Consider the following 19765-nt stretch of genomic DNA (forward strand, 5'->3'; position numbering starts at 1 on the left):
ATTCAGTGGTTCTCTACCTATTTGGGATCTGGATTCTTTTGAGACTAATAAAGGTGATGAATAAATTATCTTCCTTCAACAATTGCACACACACACACACACCAAATCTACATCTGCATACACAATTTGCACATAATTTCATGTGGTTCAGGAGTGCTAAGCTTGCTCATGAACTTGCATTTAAGAACTCCTGCTCTACTGATACAAAATTCTCTGGTGGACGCCTTCATTATATCTATTTCATTCAATGACCCTGATATCAAACAATTCTCTGAGATAGCTAATTGACCACCTCAGAATTTTAGGAAGTACACGCAGAAACAGAAATTAATTTTCTTCACTTTCCTTGGCCCTGTTACGTATCAACATGCTTACCACACCAAAACCATAACAACCACCCACTTCAAATAAAAAGGGGGAAAATGTAGAGAAAAAGCAAGAAGAGGCGAATGAAGACTGCCCTGAAGAAAACTTACATCTTAGGAAGAGACATTACAAAGCCCACAGAAAAAGAACCAATAAGTTCCTCCTTTTACTCTTAGCCACCGGCAAACAAAACAGCCACCACTTCCTCAAATATTTGTTGAATGTCTACTATGTGTTAGTCATTGTGTCAATATCTGGATACACATTGGTGGAACAAAATAAATGTGGCACAAATAATGACTTATTTGCTTTCATTTCACAGCTTCTTACTCTCTCTCCTCTAAAATAACCTTGCATAAGTGGCAGGGCAAATATTGGATTCTTAACCATTTTCCCACCAATTTTGCCCATAGAGAATATATTGCTGTTTATATCCTTCGTGTAAAAAACACACTATTTTGTCCTAGACTCAGTATCAGTGGGTTGTATCTCACTGCCGTCATTTCATGGAATAACTAGGAGTTACTCAACACAGTCTATAGCTGGTTTTTTTAACCTTTTGATAACCTTGTATCAAAATAATGCCTCTTTTGATGCTATATCTAAGATGCATCCAAAAATGTCAACAAATTACTATGGAGGAAATTAGGTTCAAAGACAAGCTGGGTGCAGCCACATGGAAAGTCACACAGACAAAGCCACTGCCTAAGGAATTAGTTGCACAAAAATGAATATGAACAGGTTGTTCAGCACTTTTTTTCCTCTGGGTGACCAAAATCTGAGGAATTTGGAAATGAAAGTTTATTTTATTACCATTTAATGTCCTGTCTACTTAGTCATTTTACTAGAAATATGAATCATGTATGTTTTTCAAGGAAATAGCTTCACGGATAGAGTCAAGCATTATTATGAATTAATCTAGTAACTCAGCATCTTTACCGGCAGTGGAATATTGATATTATTCAGCAGAAAGCAGTTATTGGAAAGAATAAGCATTTTCAGAGTGCCAACCTCAGTAATACTTCATACCTTTGACTATAAGCTAGACATGATTATAAGCACTTAATATTAACTTAATTATATTATTCATCACTTAATATGTATTAATTTTATAAGTCCTTATATTAATTTATGTAATCCTTATAACAGTTCCATTAAGTAATGTAGTGGGTTGAATGGTGTCTCCCCAAAACTGATGTTCATTAGGAACCTCAGAACATGACTATATTTGGAAATACAATCTTTGCAGATATAATTAGTTAAGATGAGGTCACACGGGATTAGAATGGGCCCAAAATCCAATGACTGGTGACCTTATAAGAAGAGAAGTCACATGGACACATAAGAGAGATGATGGCCAAGTGAAGAAAGAGGCAGAGACTTGACTTACGCTACCTCAAGGCAGGGACCACCAGAAGTGGGAAGAGGCAAGGAAGAATTCTGCCCTAGAGTCTTTAGAGGAAGTGTGATTCTACTGATACCTTGATTTTGGACTTCTGGCTCCAGAACTGTGAGATAATACATTTTGATTATTTTAAGCCACCCAGTTTGTGGTGGTTTACTATGTCAGCCCTAGCAAACTAACACAAGTAGGTACTATTACTAGCTCCATTTCATAGATAAGAAAATTGAGCTGCAGGATGAGTGACTTTCCCAGGGACACAGAGCTTGTGAATGACAGGGATGCAAACCCAGTCTGGCTCTGGAGTCTAGGCTGTTAATCACCATTCTAAGAAAGGGCTTAATACATGTTTGGTCTATTCCAAATGAGAATTCTTAGCTCATTCATTCATTCGTTCATTTTCCATCAGTTCATCCATTTGTCTCTCCATCCATTGAATTAACTATTTTAGGCACCTTCAGGTATATCTTCCATGGATCAGAATTTCCTCATTAAGTTTATTATGAGACTCAAGATCAGGCTAACAGTGGATCACCTGAAAAAATGCAGACTGGAGACCCAGTGAGTACATAACATAGCTCTGCTCCTTTGCTTCTAAACTTTTCTGGGGGGCGGGGGCAATCTCAGGAGCCTCTTTCTACTTGATGTGCCAAAAAAATCTCTAATCTTTCCCCATTACCTCATCTTCCCAGCTACCTGTGAGCCATGTGAAGGGTCAGATGCTCCTTCCTGTAAACTTCAAATTCCTTTTTTCTACTGGTGCCCTGTCTTCTGCCTACCAACATAGAAAACAAAACCAAAAATACAAAAAAGTTTCCTTCCACTTTTCTACCCAGCACCCCCTTGCAAGTGATGATCGCCTCTATTTCCCAGTGCAGTGGACTAGGTAAGAACCAAAGCACTGGAATCACACAGCCCGAATCTGCATTTCAGCTATTCTACCTCTTAGTGTTTGGTAAGTTTTTAAAAATATCTATGTACCTCAGTTTTCTCAGCTGTCAAATGAGAATAAAATAACCTACTGTTAGGATAAAATTAGATAACTCAGGTAATTAACAATGTGAGTGCACAGCTAGGCACTCAATTAAATAGATGTTTATGAGTTCTCCTTTAAATATCAAACATTTTGAAAGACTGGTGTAGGTTCACACTGACTTATATCCTTAATACTAATTCATATTTGCACTTCTGGCAAAACAGTTTCTCTCACTAATCAATACTGTCTCTCTGTATAAAATCACCAATGACCTTCCAGTCATCAAGTTCCATGACTTTTAAGTTTCTCCTCTTGTAATGTTTGACAGTACCAATCACCTTCTCTTTCTTGAAAATCTTCCCTCGAGCTTTTCTTCTGTCATCTCTTTGTTCACTTCCTTCTGTGCCTCACTGCCTCAACCCATCACTGAAAATGTTCAGAACTCACATTTCTTTCCTTCCTGCATGCTCTTTCTAGGTGACCTCATTGCTTCTATGGCTCCCACTATTCTCTCTAAGCTCAGCACTCCATATCCACGTAGTGCTCATCCTCACCCCAAGACATTTCCATGTCCCACAATTCCCTCACTCAACAACAGCAAAAACAGAAGTGTGCTGAGATATATAATGCATCTGCCTGCAACCAGACGCTAACAACAGAAATATGAACAATAGATTTCCTTGTTTTTATTTAAATATCCGAAGATTATCCTAGCCACCCAGGCATGCAATCTTGGTGTAACTCTCTGATTACCTTTTTTTCTTCACTCTCTCCCTCAAACCCCCTTCCAGAAAGTTATGTGTACACATCTGATTCAATATTCTGTCTTAGGGACTTTTTTAGTTCTTTCTCATTTTTTAAAAAAAGTATTTATCTGATGCATATCATACATTTAAAAAATACATAAAACATATATGAACAGTTCAAAGAAAAATCATAACATAAACACCCACATACCCTCTTTTCAGCTCAAGAATGCAAGTTACAAGTGGATTTGAAGACTCCCAACGAGTCCCTTCTTGAGTGGTTCTCCTAAGGCATCCTCTGTTTTAGTTAATCACTCTCATGCCTTTCTTTATAGTTTTAACATTTATGTACCCCTCTGTAGGCTAAATATTATGTAATTGACTTAGTCTTAGTACTTAAGAGTCTTAGCACTCTATATAAGTAAAATTATATATTATGTATCATTCTGTCTTTTTTTGTCTAATGTTGTGTTTCTTAGAGTCATCCATGTTGACATGTAACATGTGGGTAATTTATAATTGCTAACATATAATAGTCCATTATGTGATTATGACATAATGTATTTATCCACTGTGGAGTTGATGGATGTTTGTCTTGTTTCCAGTTTGGACCCTCTATGAAAGATACTGTCATTAATATTCTGGCACTACTTGGGGTGCATAAGGGCAAGAGTTTTTTAAATCTTAGGATCATAAATGCTGGGTCACTCAGTATGTGCTTATTCAGCTTTACTAGTTAATTTCTAGTTAATTGCATTTCAAAGTGATTGCACCAATTTACATTTCCCTGGCTTGTGACTGTTGCTTGTGACCTCATATTCCTTAGAAACTAATCTTTGGTAAGTCTTTAATGCCTGGATTAATGTTGTCATATTCCAAAGAGAAATTTGAGATTGGTTCTGCCAGTTGCCTAGAGGCACTATCAACCCAAGATTACTTTAAAAATAAATGCTTGGCTTGAGGTTTTTTGTTTTTGTTTTTGTTAAGACTACACGGATAAATTTAGATCTCAAACTGGTATAGATATGAGGGATTCCTTGTGGTTACAAATTCTCAGGACAGACTTTTTTCCCTTCCATCTGGTGACAAATGGGGAGAGGAATATTTTTCCTGTCTCTTCTGTATGGTGGGTTTATTTCCTGTCCATTCTTATACTGGGGGCTCACCATTTGGAGCCCAGGTTAATGTGGGGTCTCTTATTAGACTATCCACCTTGGGCATGTCCTAGGCTTTGTCTCCTGTACTCTGTACTCATACAACCAAGTAAAACAGTTTTTGCTTTCACATATATATATTTTTAAATCTCTACAGGCCTCTTACTTTTAAAGTGCTAGTTCAAAGATGTACTTCAGAAGACTTATTTTTATTGTTTTCCTAACTTCTTAGCTTTCCCTACAGCTGAAAATATGGTCACTTTCTTTTTCCTCATTCATCCTTCTCCCTGGCCAGTTCAGGCCCTTACTGTATAATGTCCAGATCATTTAAAAAATCTCCAGGAGGCTGTAGTTGGCACTAGTTACTCTGCTGGAAGCACTGAACAGTGTATAAAGGTCCACTGAGGGTTCTAAGAAAGTCAAGATAAGGAAAATAGCTGCAATTAAATGAGTGCCTACTATATACCTGGGACCTCACTAAGCATTTTACATGTATTATTATTATGCACTATGTCTTACTATACATGCATTATCATTTATTTCTTAAGTATTCAATCAAAACAGGAATCTCATTACAGAGGCAGAAACCTAACTTTCTTAAAAATTAAGTGGCTTGCCCAAGGTCACATAACTAATAAGTAAGCAGCAAGGAATGAAACCCAAGTCTGCTTGATAGCAAGCCCAGGCTCTTCCCTCAACACCAGGGGTTTTCCATTTGAGTTCTGTGAAGCCCAAAAGTTTAGAACCACTGAGATCAAGGGTAGGGCTCACTGAGCAGAGTTGTGTGTGCCTATCTTCAGTTTCGCCCCCAATAGGTCTACTCTTATCTGTTTAATAGATTGCTGTTTTATACCATATCTCATTTGTTCAAACGTTGTTGCTTTTAAACCATAATATCCAATCCACTTCTATGGCATAGGCTCACAGGCCCTTTAAAACCTGTCCCAAACACATACTTCCAGCCTGAAACAAAACATGAATCAACACTAATCTTGAAAGCAACCTAGATATCTTTTTATTCCTCAACTGCCCCCTATAATTTCCTGGCACTGTGACTTCACCCAGGACATTAGTAATAACAGTAATGCCCGGCTAGTAATGCTCACCAACCCTCCTCACTTTCCCTCCCCGACCAACAGACGCACCTACTAAATTCTGGGTCCAGCTCAAAGATCCCTTCATATTTGCTACTTTCCCTGATAAACACTAGGCATGATCCCTTCTCGCTCTGGACTCCAACAGCACTTGGTCTGTTCTGCTTAGGATCACATATCCTACAGAGATGGATGATAATCTTTTTTAGGGTAGGTCTTTGTCCTAATCTAGCTGTGCATACTGGAGCCTGAATTCATGGTAGATGAACCTACAGAAGTTCATAAAGTCAGAGAAGCTCATCGGGAAGGGCCATTTCTGCATCCTGTTACAGCTGGGAAAACAGCCAGTAGGAGGAGGCAGGATTTCAACAGGGGATTTGGTCAGTGGAGAATAAAAGGAAGAAAAGGTAGGTAGAAATAAAGAGCCAGAAAGGTTTGAGGAATTGTGAATAGACAGTCTCTATGCAAAGGGGATTCCCCTGGGACGGGGGAGTAGGCGAAAAGGACAGGTTCAGGAGAGGTTTGGAACACCAGATAAATCTGATTTAACTTCGCCATAAAGATACCAGGAGGAAATAAAGAGTTTTGAGGAGTGAAAAGACATCATTGAAAGCTATATATTGACCCAATTAACTGATGTCAGATTTGAGTGTGGGAGAAAATGGAGATAAGATCTGTGGGTCCTTGTTGTCAACCCCACCGTGCCTCAAGGATCTCCCAGGTAGGAATAACACACACACACACACACACACACACACACACACACACGTCACAGCCAAGGGATTCAGATTCGATTGGTCTGAGATGGGATGTTTTGATCAATGCTGCTCAAACTGATCTCCTTTGGTGGCACATTAAGTTCTCCTTCACCAAAGGAGAAAGCCACTGAAGTAGGTTACTGTGAAAATATGGTTGTATGTGACAATGTGATAAGAAGACCTAGGGGGGCTAGCTGTGGAATGGACAAGAAAGTGATATAAGAGGCATTCTGAAGGTATACTGACAGACTTCTAGTTTAACATACAAGATTAAGATCTCAAGGCCAGATTTTAAATTCTTCACTTCATAATTACCTCCCCCGACCCTTTTTCATCTATGCCCTGCCTTTTTTTTTTTTTTTTTTAAAGAGATGGGGTCTTGCTCTGTTGCCCAGGCTGTATTCAAGCTCCTGGGCTCAAGCAATCCACAGCTTCTGGCTTATGCCACCCTCTTTCTTCTTCTCCCCTCCCCCTTTCTCTTTCTCTCTCCCTCCCTCCTTCTTTCTTTTTTTGAGACAAGGTCTCACTCTCGCACCCAGGCTGGAGTGCAGTGGCATTATCATGGCTCGCTGTAGCCTCGATCTCCCCAGGCTCAGGTGATCCTCCCACCTCAGCCTTCCAAGTAGTTGGCACCACCACACCTGGCTAATTTTTGTATTTTTTGTAGACATGGGTTTCAGCATGTTGCCCAGGCTGGTCTCAAACTCCTAGGCTCAAGTGATCTGCCTGTCTCAGCCTCCCAAAGTGCTGATGTAAGCCACAGTGCCCAGCCTTATGCCCCCTGCTTTTCATAGCCAGAAACTAAAGATGAGAGGCTTTGCTTGGTAGCACTGAGAAGTAATTTTTGGTGAACAAAGTAACATGAGTTTGAAAATTATTCTCCATCAGAAACGGGACTTGAACTTTTCAAAATCTAAAATGTGTTTATTTAGAATAAGATAACGTCCAACAAAAAATTAGTCTAATGACTTGAAAGGCCCATTCTTCTGTGTTTAAGGCTTTCGTGTGGGACACAGGGCTGTGGCTCTGCCCAAGCACATGAGAGGGGAGCCAAAGGGTGGATTTTTTTTTCCTATGAGACTAGAGCTGAATCACTGGGACACGGCCATCCCGATTGTGACCACTCAGTTGCCAGATATTTTAGAGTAAGATATTGTGCACTGATATTTTTATAGATATCTTGCACAGTGATCTAATTTCCCACCGATTTCAGAAGAATGCAACCAATTACACAAACGAAAACAACGGTGACATTCATACTATAATCTGCCGTCTGTCAGTAAAAACCTTGGATCTTTAAGAGATTGATATTTCTCTTTTTAAGAGATTGGTCTATGTCAGCAAATGCATTATTTTCAAGTATGTGTTTTGGGTGTGGAGATCTTAAATAAAGGGGAATTTTATGTGCCTTTTTCATGGTAAGAGCTTGAAAAAACTTGAACCCTTTTAGTTAGGAAAGACCTCAGATTATTAAGCTTTTATTCTTTTTTTTTACTTAACTGTTATCCAGTTATTAGAAATAAACCAGCATTTCTCATCCATAAATCAGCCAGAAGAGGAGTAGAGAGGGGGTTACTTAACCAATTAAAAAAAATGCTTCTAAATTTCTAAAGGTGGTCTATATTAGTAATAATCACTGTCAAAACTAACTGAAGTAAAAGGGGCTTGCTCCTCAGATTCCCTCTGATAGCTACAAGGCTGCCTTTGCATGGATTTTGCTTGGAAGTACCCTCAGTTCATCCCTGAAAATGAGGTCACTGACCCCTAACACATGTTAGGCATGGTTAGCATCTTTACACTGGGACCTGTGCCAGAAAGGCCCCTGCTGGTGCACATTTCAAACCTGCTGGGGTGTCTGTGCACAGTGGCCACTCTCATGCTGAAAGGCAAAACAACATTCCCAACTTTATCTTTAAATAGAGGGGAGTGGGAACCAGTTAAAAAAAATACAGTGCTGGCAGGCTTTTGTTTTTGTAAAGGCAGTGTTTTCAAGAGATTTACCTTGCCATATGCTGATAAAACATACCCTCATCCAGTCTGTCCACTATGATCTGGTTTACATCAAAAGGAGGATCTAGAATTCAGGCCGTGGGGGTATTTTTTCTCACTCAGAATTCAGACCCCTAAAAATTCTCTTGGAGACTGATTAGCAACAAAAACAAATATAGAGAAGAAAAAAAATTTTCCCATGGGAGGAAAAACACATGTCAGGTGCTGGTGGGTGGGTGGGTATTTCTAATATTCCTCAACATAGACTTGATTATGTTCAGCTGCAAAATAGGATCTGTGTTTGTCTCAAATTTTCTGATAATATAAAGTAAGATCTTAAAAAGCCAGTTTCACTTGTCTCTTAGAGGATATAAAATCATAGGTATCAGGAGAGGAGAATTTGTGTCTTAATAATATGAGGTCAATATAGTAACATTTTGTCTTGATTTGCACCAGGCTATGGCCAACTATTTTGACTTCAAACTATTTTGACTCAAAACTTTCATTTTCCTTACACTATGGAAGTTGCAAGGTATCTTACTGTGCTGCAGACACAAAGTCACTACGCTGTATTAGGCAGAAAGCCATAAATGATGTAAGGAACTGGTAGGATGATTTGACTAGATGACAAGCAAGATCCTCCCTGCCCTAAAAGCTCCATGATATTATGCAATGCACAAATGCTTCCACTGCTAATGGTAAGTGTTTAATTTTCCAAACAAGCAAAGACGGAGCAGTGTTAATAAAAGTTCTATTGTGGCCAAAGTACCTAACCCAAGATGTGAAAAGAAGTATAGCCCTTTATCCAAGATACATTTCTTTCTTTCTTTTTCTTTTTTTACCCCCAGACAGTCTGTCTCTATCACCCAGGCTGGAGCTCACTGCAACCTCCACCTCCCAGGCTCAAGCAATCCTCCCACCTTGACCTCCCTAGTAGCCAGGTCTACAGGTACAGACCGCCACGCCTGACTAATTTTTGTAATTTTCAGTAGAGACGGAGTTTTGCCTTGTAACCCAGGCTGTTCTTGACTTTTTGTGATCAAGTAATCCACCCATCTTGGCCTCCCAAGTGTTGGGATTACAAGTGTGAGCCACTGTGCTCAGCTCAAGATGTTTTTCAAATTTAAAATGAAAACGAATTATTCAACTTTATTTCATTAGGATATTTTAGGACAGCATGAGTTTGCCTTTACTTGGGTTAAGCTATACAAGAGGAACAGACAGTTCAACCTTAAAATTAATAAAATGTTTATATTTGGTTATTCTGAAATCTAAAGATTCAAATAAATAAGTAAGCCTGGAAAATAACCGCAGATGGAGAAACCATTTCTGAAAAGTATGTTTTGCAGGTGTATTCATTACCAGACTATTTTGAAACCTCCTCTGTGTTTGAACCTGTTTCTGATTACCTCTTGAGACAAAGAAGCATGAGAGAAATAGTAATATCTTGCTCTGGAAAAAAAAAAAAGTCTATCCATTGCATTCTCAGGGCTAAGCAATTCAAAACATACAGCAGCCCTGGAGAATTTTTTTTTTCTTAATACACGCTAATGGAATGTTAATATAAGGAAGATTTAGTCCTTTGGAAAAGTGTAATCATGTTTATTTCAGGGAATTATTTTCCCCATTGAGTTAAAATAAGATAGTAATCAAAGGTTTAATAAAATAGCAGTTAATGGTTTCTAATCTGTAAGTGTTCTAGATGCCAGCCTTCCCAAAAATACCTAAAGTATTTTTCATTTGTTTGGGAGAAGGCATGTGCTGAACAAAAAAAACATAAAGCCACTGGGGTCCTAGACTTTCTTTCTTTTTTTTTTTTTTTGACGGAGTCTCACTCTGTTGCCAGGCCAGAATGCAGTTGTGCAATCTCAGCTCACTGCAACCTCCACCTCCCGGGTTCAAGCGATTCTTCTGCCTCAGCCTCCTGAGTAGCTGGAATTACAGGCACCCACAACCACGCCCGACTAATTTTTGTACTTTTAATAGAGACAGGGTTTCACCACGTTGGCCAGGCTGGTCTCAAAACTCCTGACCTCAGGTGATCCACCTGCCTTGGCCTCCCAAAGTGCTGGGATTACAGGCATGAGCCACCAAGCCCCGCCCAGGGTCCTAAACTTTCTATCAGTCACCCCCTCCTCTCTTTTTGCTTTGCTTCATCTAGCTCATCTGTCTCAATTATTTCCCACATGAACATGTCGTTAAGAAATTCTCTTTTGCTTTCCTGCGAGCCAAGCTGCCTAGGAAATCCTTGATGCATAATCTATTCTTCCTTGTTTACCAGAGAGAGTGGCTGCTTTAAACATCCCCCTCCTGGAGGGATCCGCTGGCATTCATCTCATCACGCCTTCATTTATCATCTTGTGATAGCATTAGTCATTTACATACATACCCTCGGCTCACCTTAACATTAAATAATCTCATGGTTCATAGCGCTGAACTAGTAAACTGGTAAGCAAAGATAGAGTAACGATTAACTCTTAGTCTTAATAAACAACTTGCTTTGTATTGAACAAAAAAATACATACAATCCTATCTGTTATACACATCTTATATTTTGGGGTAAGCAGTGGTCACCGTATCATCTCTATCAAATAGATAGAAAACTGAAGCGAAGAGAGGTGTGATTTGCTTAACTAGCTAGAGAAAGTGCTGAAAATAGAATTTGGGTTCCCTGGCTTTAATGTTCTTCCTACCACCTAATGATACAGAACAAGAATGAATTGGACCCACTCCTCACATACAAAGAAGGCTAAAAATGACCGACAACTTTGTCCCATTAAACATAAAATGAAACGAGATAGTATTATGCAGTTAAAATCTGGCAGTCTGCGGAGATCCTTGTTTATAAAACAAATTCCAATTTTTTGCATAGCTTGGCTACACAACAACCACCACAACACAAACTGCTGAGTCCCTTAGAGAGGTACCTCATAATACTGAGATATTGCTATATTCCGCTCAGGAAATACATAGCAGTAACTTCTGGCATTATACGTGGTAGATTATATAAAACATGACAACTGTTTGCGATTTTTCCATTTATTTGGTATGTTATGAATCAGAACAAGGATTTCAGGCCTTCATGCTTAAGGATCCTTATTATGTAGGAGGCATTGGCATGAGTCCTAAAATATTTAATCCAAGCAACTATTCACATTTTATATATAGCAACTGAAAACAGTGATAAGCTAAAACTGGTCTAGGTAGCAGAGAGAAGAGAAAGTATTTGAATAGATGAACATTTTCCCAACAGTTTTTTTTTTAGACCAGGAAATAAACAGCTTGATTTTTAGTGTGCATAGACTTAATACTGCAAACATAACTATTTTCTTGCAATGCATAAATATACTCTATATGGTGCGAATCAGATAGGAAATTACAATACAGTGGACTTCAGCTTCCTGGTCAGATAATTAGAGGCCTGAGGTTTAAAAGCCCAGAGGAGTTGAAGGGTGAGGCCATGGCACCAGAGGGAGAGGAGGCATTAGCTAGTGAGTTCTTGAATTTATCATCCTAAAATGTTGGCCACCAGCTGATGCAGCTGGAGCCTTGCTAGAATTGTTGGTAAATGAAACTATGTGCCTTTTTTGGGAGGTAGGGGGCTTGCAGGGAGGATGGTTTCATGCTGATTTTTTAAAAAACAAATATACCAAAATGCTATTGTTCTTTTCACTTAAAATGTTTCATTTTTACTTAAGTCTGTAATCAACAAAGGGATTTTAGGAGGCCTTGCTGAAAATATAGCTAAAGAAGTTCTTATTTGAATGTATAAAAAATATTTTTAAAAACAAGGTTAGCTCACTAGAGAAGTCAGATAGACAGATAGATAGATAGACTGATTTGGGATTGTAAATAATCTGTAAGTGACATTTATATTTTTCCTTGACTAGATTTGGAATTGGGAGGCTTAAACAGCTTTACATTAAATACAACAAAAGGGCAAAATATAGAAAGAGCACATACATAGACACACAAGAAATCTTTCTAGAAGTGCGAAGGAAACATGTAGTAAAGAAAATAAGGAAGGACGTTATTTTCTATAACAAAAAATGAAACAAGGAAGAGTGGACTTTACCCCAAATTTAAGGTAACCGCTGGACTCTGTCATTATAAGTAGTTATAACATGGAAGGTGACTTTCCGTTATGTTACCGTCTAACAGCTAAAATGTACTACGAGGGTTACTAGGAGCAAAGACTCCTATTTAAGGAGCTATGTGATATGTGTTTTCTAAGTATTTGCAGATAGATCTAGACTAATATGTCACTTTCTATTGGCAAGTCAATGTAGTTTAGTGATTTCAGAGTTCAGACTCTGGACCCAGGATGCCTAAGTTCACAACCTGACTCTGCAATTCACAAAGGATGTGACTTTGGCCAAGATACTTAAACATACTGTAGTTAAATTTCCTCATCTGTAAAATGAAATTAGCAGTAAAATTTAACTCAGAGGGCTGTTGATATTAAAGGAGATAATACATGCCGAGCAGTTAGAAATGGCATGGCACACAGTTGGTCCCCAATTAACATTATCCTTTATTAATTATCACTTTAAAATTATTTTAAGTTAATATTCTAGTTTGTTTGGCTACAATTATAACCATGAGAGTCAAACAAACATACAGGGACTGAACCCACGAACTTGACCTCATTTGCCCAGTGCTTTCAGGAAGTAAGGGAAGCAAACAAAGCAGAGAACACTCACATTGTGATCTGTCTACAGCAGCGGTTCTCAAACTTATTACTCAAGGTACCTTTATACTCCTAACTATTATTGAGGAACCCCAAAGAGCTTTTGATTATGAGGATTATAACTATTGTTATTTACCACATTAGAAAATAAAGCTGACAATTTAAAAATTAATCATTAATTTATTTTAAATTAACAATGGCAATCTTGTTACATGCTAACTTAAAATATTTATCTTATGAAACATAACGGTATTTTCCAAAACAAATAAAAAAGATGAGATGAATGGTATTGTTTTACGAGTCTGCAAATCTCTTTAATGTACGTATTGTTTTGGTTGAAGTAGGTCAAGGATACCAGTCTTCAGGGTACTCTAGAAGGGTCTCAGGGACACCCAGGGGTTCTTGATTGACCTCATGATACAAAGGCCTAACACCTCCGAAGAGAACATTTAAGCAAAAGGCAAGACTGAGCAGGAAGCAAAGTCTAAATAAATATAGTGCTACTATTTTTGCAAAGTACAGATCAGGATCACTCTAATCAGTACCTATTCATTGCTTTTCTGCTACCTTGCTTTAGTTCTCCTAGAGTCTTTCCAAGTGGCTATGTCCACACAGTCGAAATACTTGAACACTAATACACTTCCCCAGTGGATGACACTGTCCATAGGATGTCCACTTAAGGTCCTTAGAAATGACATGTGACAAATAAGCAACAAATTCCATTGCAAGTGATGCTGCCAAAAAGATAGCATGAGAATTCCTTAAGGACAACTTGTCATTGTTGCATAAACACAACTACAGATACAAATCCTCTGTTCTGGGAAACTTCTACATGGAAAATGACAGCCTGATTCTGGTCACTAAAATGGAAAGTTAATTAGAGCATGTTCCTTTCAAACATTTTTAAAAATATTTAAATATTTTAAAATAGTCTCTTGTTAGGACTAACTGGTAACTAGAAGGCCATGATTATGAGAGGCTGTACCCTTCAAAGATGAAGTTTTGCTTAAAATCTTAACAAATATTTATTGAATACATATTATATTCCAGGTTTTGGGGATCAAATAATGAGCAAGTCACAGTCTGTGTTTAAAAGTCTACAGTAGGGCTAGGTGCAGTGGGTCATGCCTGTAAATCCCAGCACTTTGGGAGGCTGAGATGAGAGCCTAAGAGTCTGAGATCAGCTTGGGCTGAACATAGTGGGGCCCTGTCTCTACAAAAAATATTTTAAAAATTAGCTGGGTGTGGTGGTCTACACCTGTAGTCCCAGTTACTCAGGAGGCTGAGGTGGGAGGATCGCTTGAACCTGGGAGTTCAAGGCTGCAGTGAGCTGTGATTGTGCTACCGCACTCCAGCCTGGGCAACGGAGTGAGACCTTGTCTCAAAGAAATAAATAAATAAATAAAAAAGTATGCAGTGTTCAAAATGTATCTGATCTTACAGATACAAGTGTTTTCAAAATATGACAATAATCACTGAATTACAGAAGTATGTAAATTTACAATATATCAAAATGATGTTGAGTTAGAATACAAAATAATCAATAATTCAAGACTAAATAAAGCTGAAACATATCCAGATTCTGAAAAGCGATTTTTACATTATTGGCTTCTACTTTTCAAACTGGTTGCCATCACTCACCGTCACTTGACTAAAGAAAAAAATGGCATTCACTACCCAACATTATTCTCTGGAAATGTTTGCGATCATGAATATCTACAAAGATATTCTTACAAAAATCTTACTTACAAAAGTAAAAAGAGACTCCTAAAATAAAAGAATTAAATTCCTTACAGAGTCTTATGCTTAACGAGTGATTATTAGTAACTATGAATATTTCCCTGAAATACACTGAAATTTATGTTATATTATCTAATTATATATTTATCAACAGTCCAATTAGAAGACACAGTTTAATTTTTATTACTAGGTTTTGCAATATATTCTGAGGATCATGATAAAACATTTAAAAAATAAACATTTGCATTAGGATAGAATTGGCAAACGTATTTACTTTGCGACTAAAAATGTCTTAACATTATAAAGAGAATGACTTCGAAAAGATATCTCATTATATTGTAAATTCTTTTTGGTCTTACAGATAACTTAAATTTGATTATCATCCAAATTTATAACCGACCTGAGGTAGCATCTTTATATTGTCACACAGAACAAATTTAGTTGGTAAGTAAATATTATATTTACTACATAACTAAAAGTTTCCATTTCAAAACAAACACTATAATAGTCTCAGCAGCAAAAGACAAGTTTTGTGATTTCTTTTTTTGAGTTTGACTATATAAAATATCCTACTTGCCCCCAATTTTCTTAAGTGAAAATCAACAATAAAATGAGGGATTCCTCCAACAGTTAAATATGTATTTATTACTGGATCAATCATTGAAAAATATATATATAACATAGGAAACATCCAAATTCAAAGATTTTCTATTTGGCATTATAGGGTAACTTCACAGGATTTAAAATTAATGCACATCAGTTGCTGTTGAATGATCTTATTATTAGCTACCTCTAAAATGCACACTAAAATTGGATTACATTTGGGCTTTGTTCAATATTAGAGTCTAGGTTTTTTTCATGAGCATTATTGAAGAGTTAAACTTTAAAGTTAACTTTTCATCAATCATTTATGTCAAAACTAGTTCTAGTTCTTCCATACAGAAAATCTCTAAACAATACTGTAAAAACCACAAGCCGAACAGAAGCAGCAGGAAGTATTAATGATCATTCATGAAAATGCAATTATCTACTATACCCTCTTTGCAAGGATTTTGTCCATAGTTCAGCTCATGCAGATAAAGTGTTCAGTCTTCCATTCAAGTCAGAGATGAAGGCAGGAGAGGAATAATTCTACATTTTCCAGCAAAACCCAGTACAGCAATAGTATATGCTACTCTGTTGTGATGGAACTTCTATATGATTCGTATCGGGTCAGTACCCTTCCAGAGTTACTGCTTACGGCATGATAATTTCAAATTCAGTCTGTCATTTTATTACACGTTTTTTCAAACAGCATGCCCACCAAAACAGAAAACACTGCACATATGGGCTGAGATCAAATGCTTTCACCATTTAGTTGATATATTCTGACAGGAGGCAGAAACAAGATGGTCTACTTTTATTTAGGCTTTCCTTTTGGATCTCAGATTTTTTAAGTTATTAATTAATAAAAGGCCAGAACTCTTCAGGTACATTCTTTAAGACTCGTTACAGCAAGCCTTATTGCTCAAACCCTTCCCAGCAATGAGTATTTCTCAAAGCTGTCTAACTATGTAATTTATGATCATGCATATGCAAAGTTTTCAAATCCACAACTAATGGAACAGAATACACATCAAAATTTAACAGTACAGTTTGAAAGTTTTGGATGGGTAAGTTGATTATTTTTAGAGTGATACGATTTTTAGGACTCACTTGCCAATATGCTTATATTACTAGTAAATTACAGTTGACATTAATGTCTGGCATTCATGCACAATCTTATAGCTTTATTACGAATCTCAAAGATTACCCTTAAAAACTCTTTCTCTGAGACACACAGAATGTTTATAAAATCTCACTTGATTAAAATTTCATAATTGTACATATGCAATATTGCCACATTCCATAAAGGTCACGAAAGGTTAATATTTTCGCAAAAAATATTCTGTCTTTAAGAGTACAAAGATGAAAACTGAATCCATTTAAAATAAAGATAAAAATTGTAAGTTTTCCAAATTGCTTTTTGTAACACTGTGAAATGACAGCTGTTTTCTCAAAACCATTAGCATGTTTGTCCACCTGATATTAGAACAAGCAACAATGTCCTCATTTTTATGATGTCTCGTTCTAGTCATTATGACTATTTCACTAAATGTTTAAACACAATATTCAGGAATCTAAGGTGTTCTCAGAGTTAGATACACTGATGTTAACTGTGTAACATCACACAGTTAGATGAAAGGATATAGGTAGAAACAAGAGATCACATGACCATTTTCAACCATACCATGATCTACATAGCATTAGGTGAATCCCTCAGAATCAAATACTTCAAAATTTCACAAACATAAAGCAAATATTTACTCCCTTTATCTACACAGTATCCCTTAAGGGGGAGATGGCTTACTATGCCAATTCTTTAAAATTATTAAACAAGATGACTTATTTATATCTATGTGCAATTCTATTAAGATGGAAATAAAATTACATTTTCCAACTTCTAATTACATCCTTCATCTACCATTTATATGAGTTTCAAAAATAAATTTTAATTCTATGTTTTCTCCCCAACTGTAAAATTTCATATTGCCCCTTGTAATTAATACATCAGAAAAAGCTGAATTTTAAAGCTGTTGGATTTCTCTTGAAAAAAGTGCAACCATATAAACCTTTTTACGCTCTTGGATTTACCAGGCTTTTCCTGCACTCCTAATCGCCCCCTGTCTTTTTGTATTTTGTTATGCATCCTCTTAAGGCAGGCCTTAGCTGAACTCACTCCAAATTACATCACAGGCAAAACATATCTAGAGTCCGGATCGGAACAAAACAGAAAGGACAGTCCATTGTCCTACACATATTTAACTCAAGTGATCCGTAGTGCAAACAGGTTAATTTGCTTCCTACCCAGCAACAAACATTTTTTAAAAGGCACAACTATTCAGGGCAAAACAGAACTTCTATAAGGAAAGTACATTTCATTTAGGAGCTGTAAATGCTTACTTGTTCTGGGAAGCTCTCTCCCTCTTCCACTGCCATTCTCTGTGGCCAAGTAAGAAACCTGATAACTCAATTAGTTAACACTTTGGACAGAGCATCACATCTAAAAATATCTGCCTTCGGAAATGTAAAGGTTTCCCCCACTTCCTAGGAAGGAGGTAGGAGCTGGTCAGAAGCAACTAACTAGAGTATTTAAATGGAGGGTGGGCGGGGCAGACAAGAGTACAGAATCCGCCTGGGCCCTTATAAACAGCATAGTACCTCCCAGAATTCCCCACGACTTACCATATTGGCTCTGTGGATTTAGTCATGATATGTGGAATACCGAGAATAGCAGGGCAATCAGCTGGGGATTGTACCCTGGCTTTCTGGCTGCTTGGAATTACTCATGAGACCAGCTTTTGTCATTCTGCTTATCAGCACTTTCCTCTGTACTCACGCTACTCTGACATTCCTTCTAAAGACAATACCACCATTTTCTCCTCTGTCTTTCTGGAATCCAGTCAGGCTTGACTTTTATTATTGGGCTTTTTAAACTTTTAATTTCCTTCTCTGTATTAGCTTTTCTAATGAATATATGTCTGCGTAGACATGTATACCTACAGTTATATACACACTCACACAGACACACATGCACACTCTGAGGGCATACTTTACTGCCGAGGAGAGTTACTTTACTAAACCAATTTCCTTTTGTCAAAGGGCAAATGCAACTGATGATCATCTTTTTAAAAATACAGCACTATGCCAAACTCATGTGTATAACCGGGTGGGAGAAAAAAACCAAACAACTCATTGAATACTTCCGATATATATATATATATATATATGTATCTGTGTGTGTATATATATATACACACTATATATAATCTATGTGTGTGTATATATATACTATATATGTATGTATGTATATATAAAGTATATATACATATACACACACACATGCACGCACACATATACACACGCACACATATACACACACATACATATATACACACATACACACACGTGTGTATATATACATATATATACACACACATGCACGCACAGATACACACACACACACATACATACATACACACACACACACAATATACATTTTTTTTTTTTTTTTTTGAGACAGAGTCTCACTCTGTCACCCAGGCTGGAGTGCAGTGGCAGGATCTCGGCTCACTGCAATCTGTGCTTCCCTGGTTCAGGCAATTCTCTTGCCTTAGCCTCCTGAGAAGCTGGGACTACAGGGCCCACCACCATGTCTGGCTAATTTTTGTATTTTTAGTAAGGACGGGGTTTCACCATGTTGGTTGGCCAGGCTGGTCTCAAACTTCTGAGCTCAAATGATCTGCCCACCTCAGTCTCCCAAAGTGCTGGGATTACAGGCATGAGCCACTGTACCCGGCCCAGATAAATATTTTTTACTTAGCTTTTTTCAACTAATACAATTCAGCTTTTCAGATATGCAACACTTTAGGCAACTTTTTACTGTTCTCACACTTCAGATAACTTTCTACTGTTCTTACACAAGAATCAGAGCCCTAAAGAACCCATCATTATAACAACCTTCATTTATATTTTATTTAGTACAGTTCTAATCAATAGTTCTCTTAAACCTTTAAGGCTTGAAGGAACATGACCATGGTAGGCTCAATTAAGCTTCAGAAAGATCAGTGTGTAAGTCTATTCACTCAACACATAATTTACACAGAGACTACTAAGTGCCAGACATTATTCTAGGTACTGGGGTACAGTGGGGGAGGAAAAACAATGAATAAAACTGAGAAAATCCCTATTTTTTATGAAACTTATATACACCAGCAAATGTGGGAAGACAGATGACAAACCATAAACATAATAAATAACTTGTTGAATAT

At 37.4% G+C, this 19765-nt stretch overlaps 1 protein-coding gene across 4 annotated transcripts in view, besides 1 other annotated feature; it reads right to left on the bottom strand.

Moving 5' to 3' along the window:
- ANK3 (ankyrin 3) overlaps positions 1–19765 on the bottom strand; it is a 707231-nt gene that overhangs the window by 256124 nt on the left and 431342 nt on the right. The window lies entirely within an intron of this gene.
- Positions 18070–18364: an enhancer, noted in NCBI's record as "tiled region #14495; K562 Activating DNase unmatched - State 1:Tss". NCBI's record gives its function as "activates a minimal TATA promoter and a strong SV40 promoter by Sharpr-MPRA in K562 cells {active_cell/tissue: K562}" and the evidence as "EXISTENCE:reporter gene assay evidence [ECO:0000049][PMID:27701403]".

This window comes from Homo sapiens, chromosome 10 (genome assembly GCF_000001405.40).
Source record: "Homo sapiens chromosome 10, GRCh38.p14 Primary Assembly".
Lineage (NCBI taxonomy): Eukaryota > Metazoa > Chordata > Mammalia > Primates > Hominidae > Homo > Homo sapiens.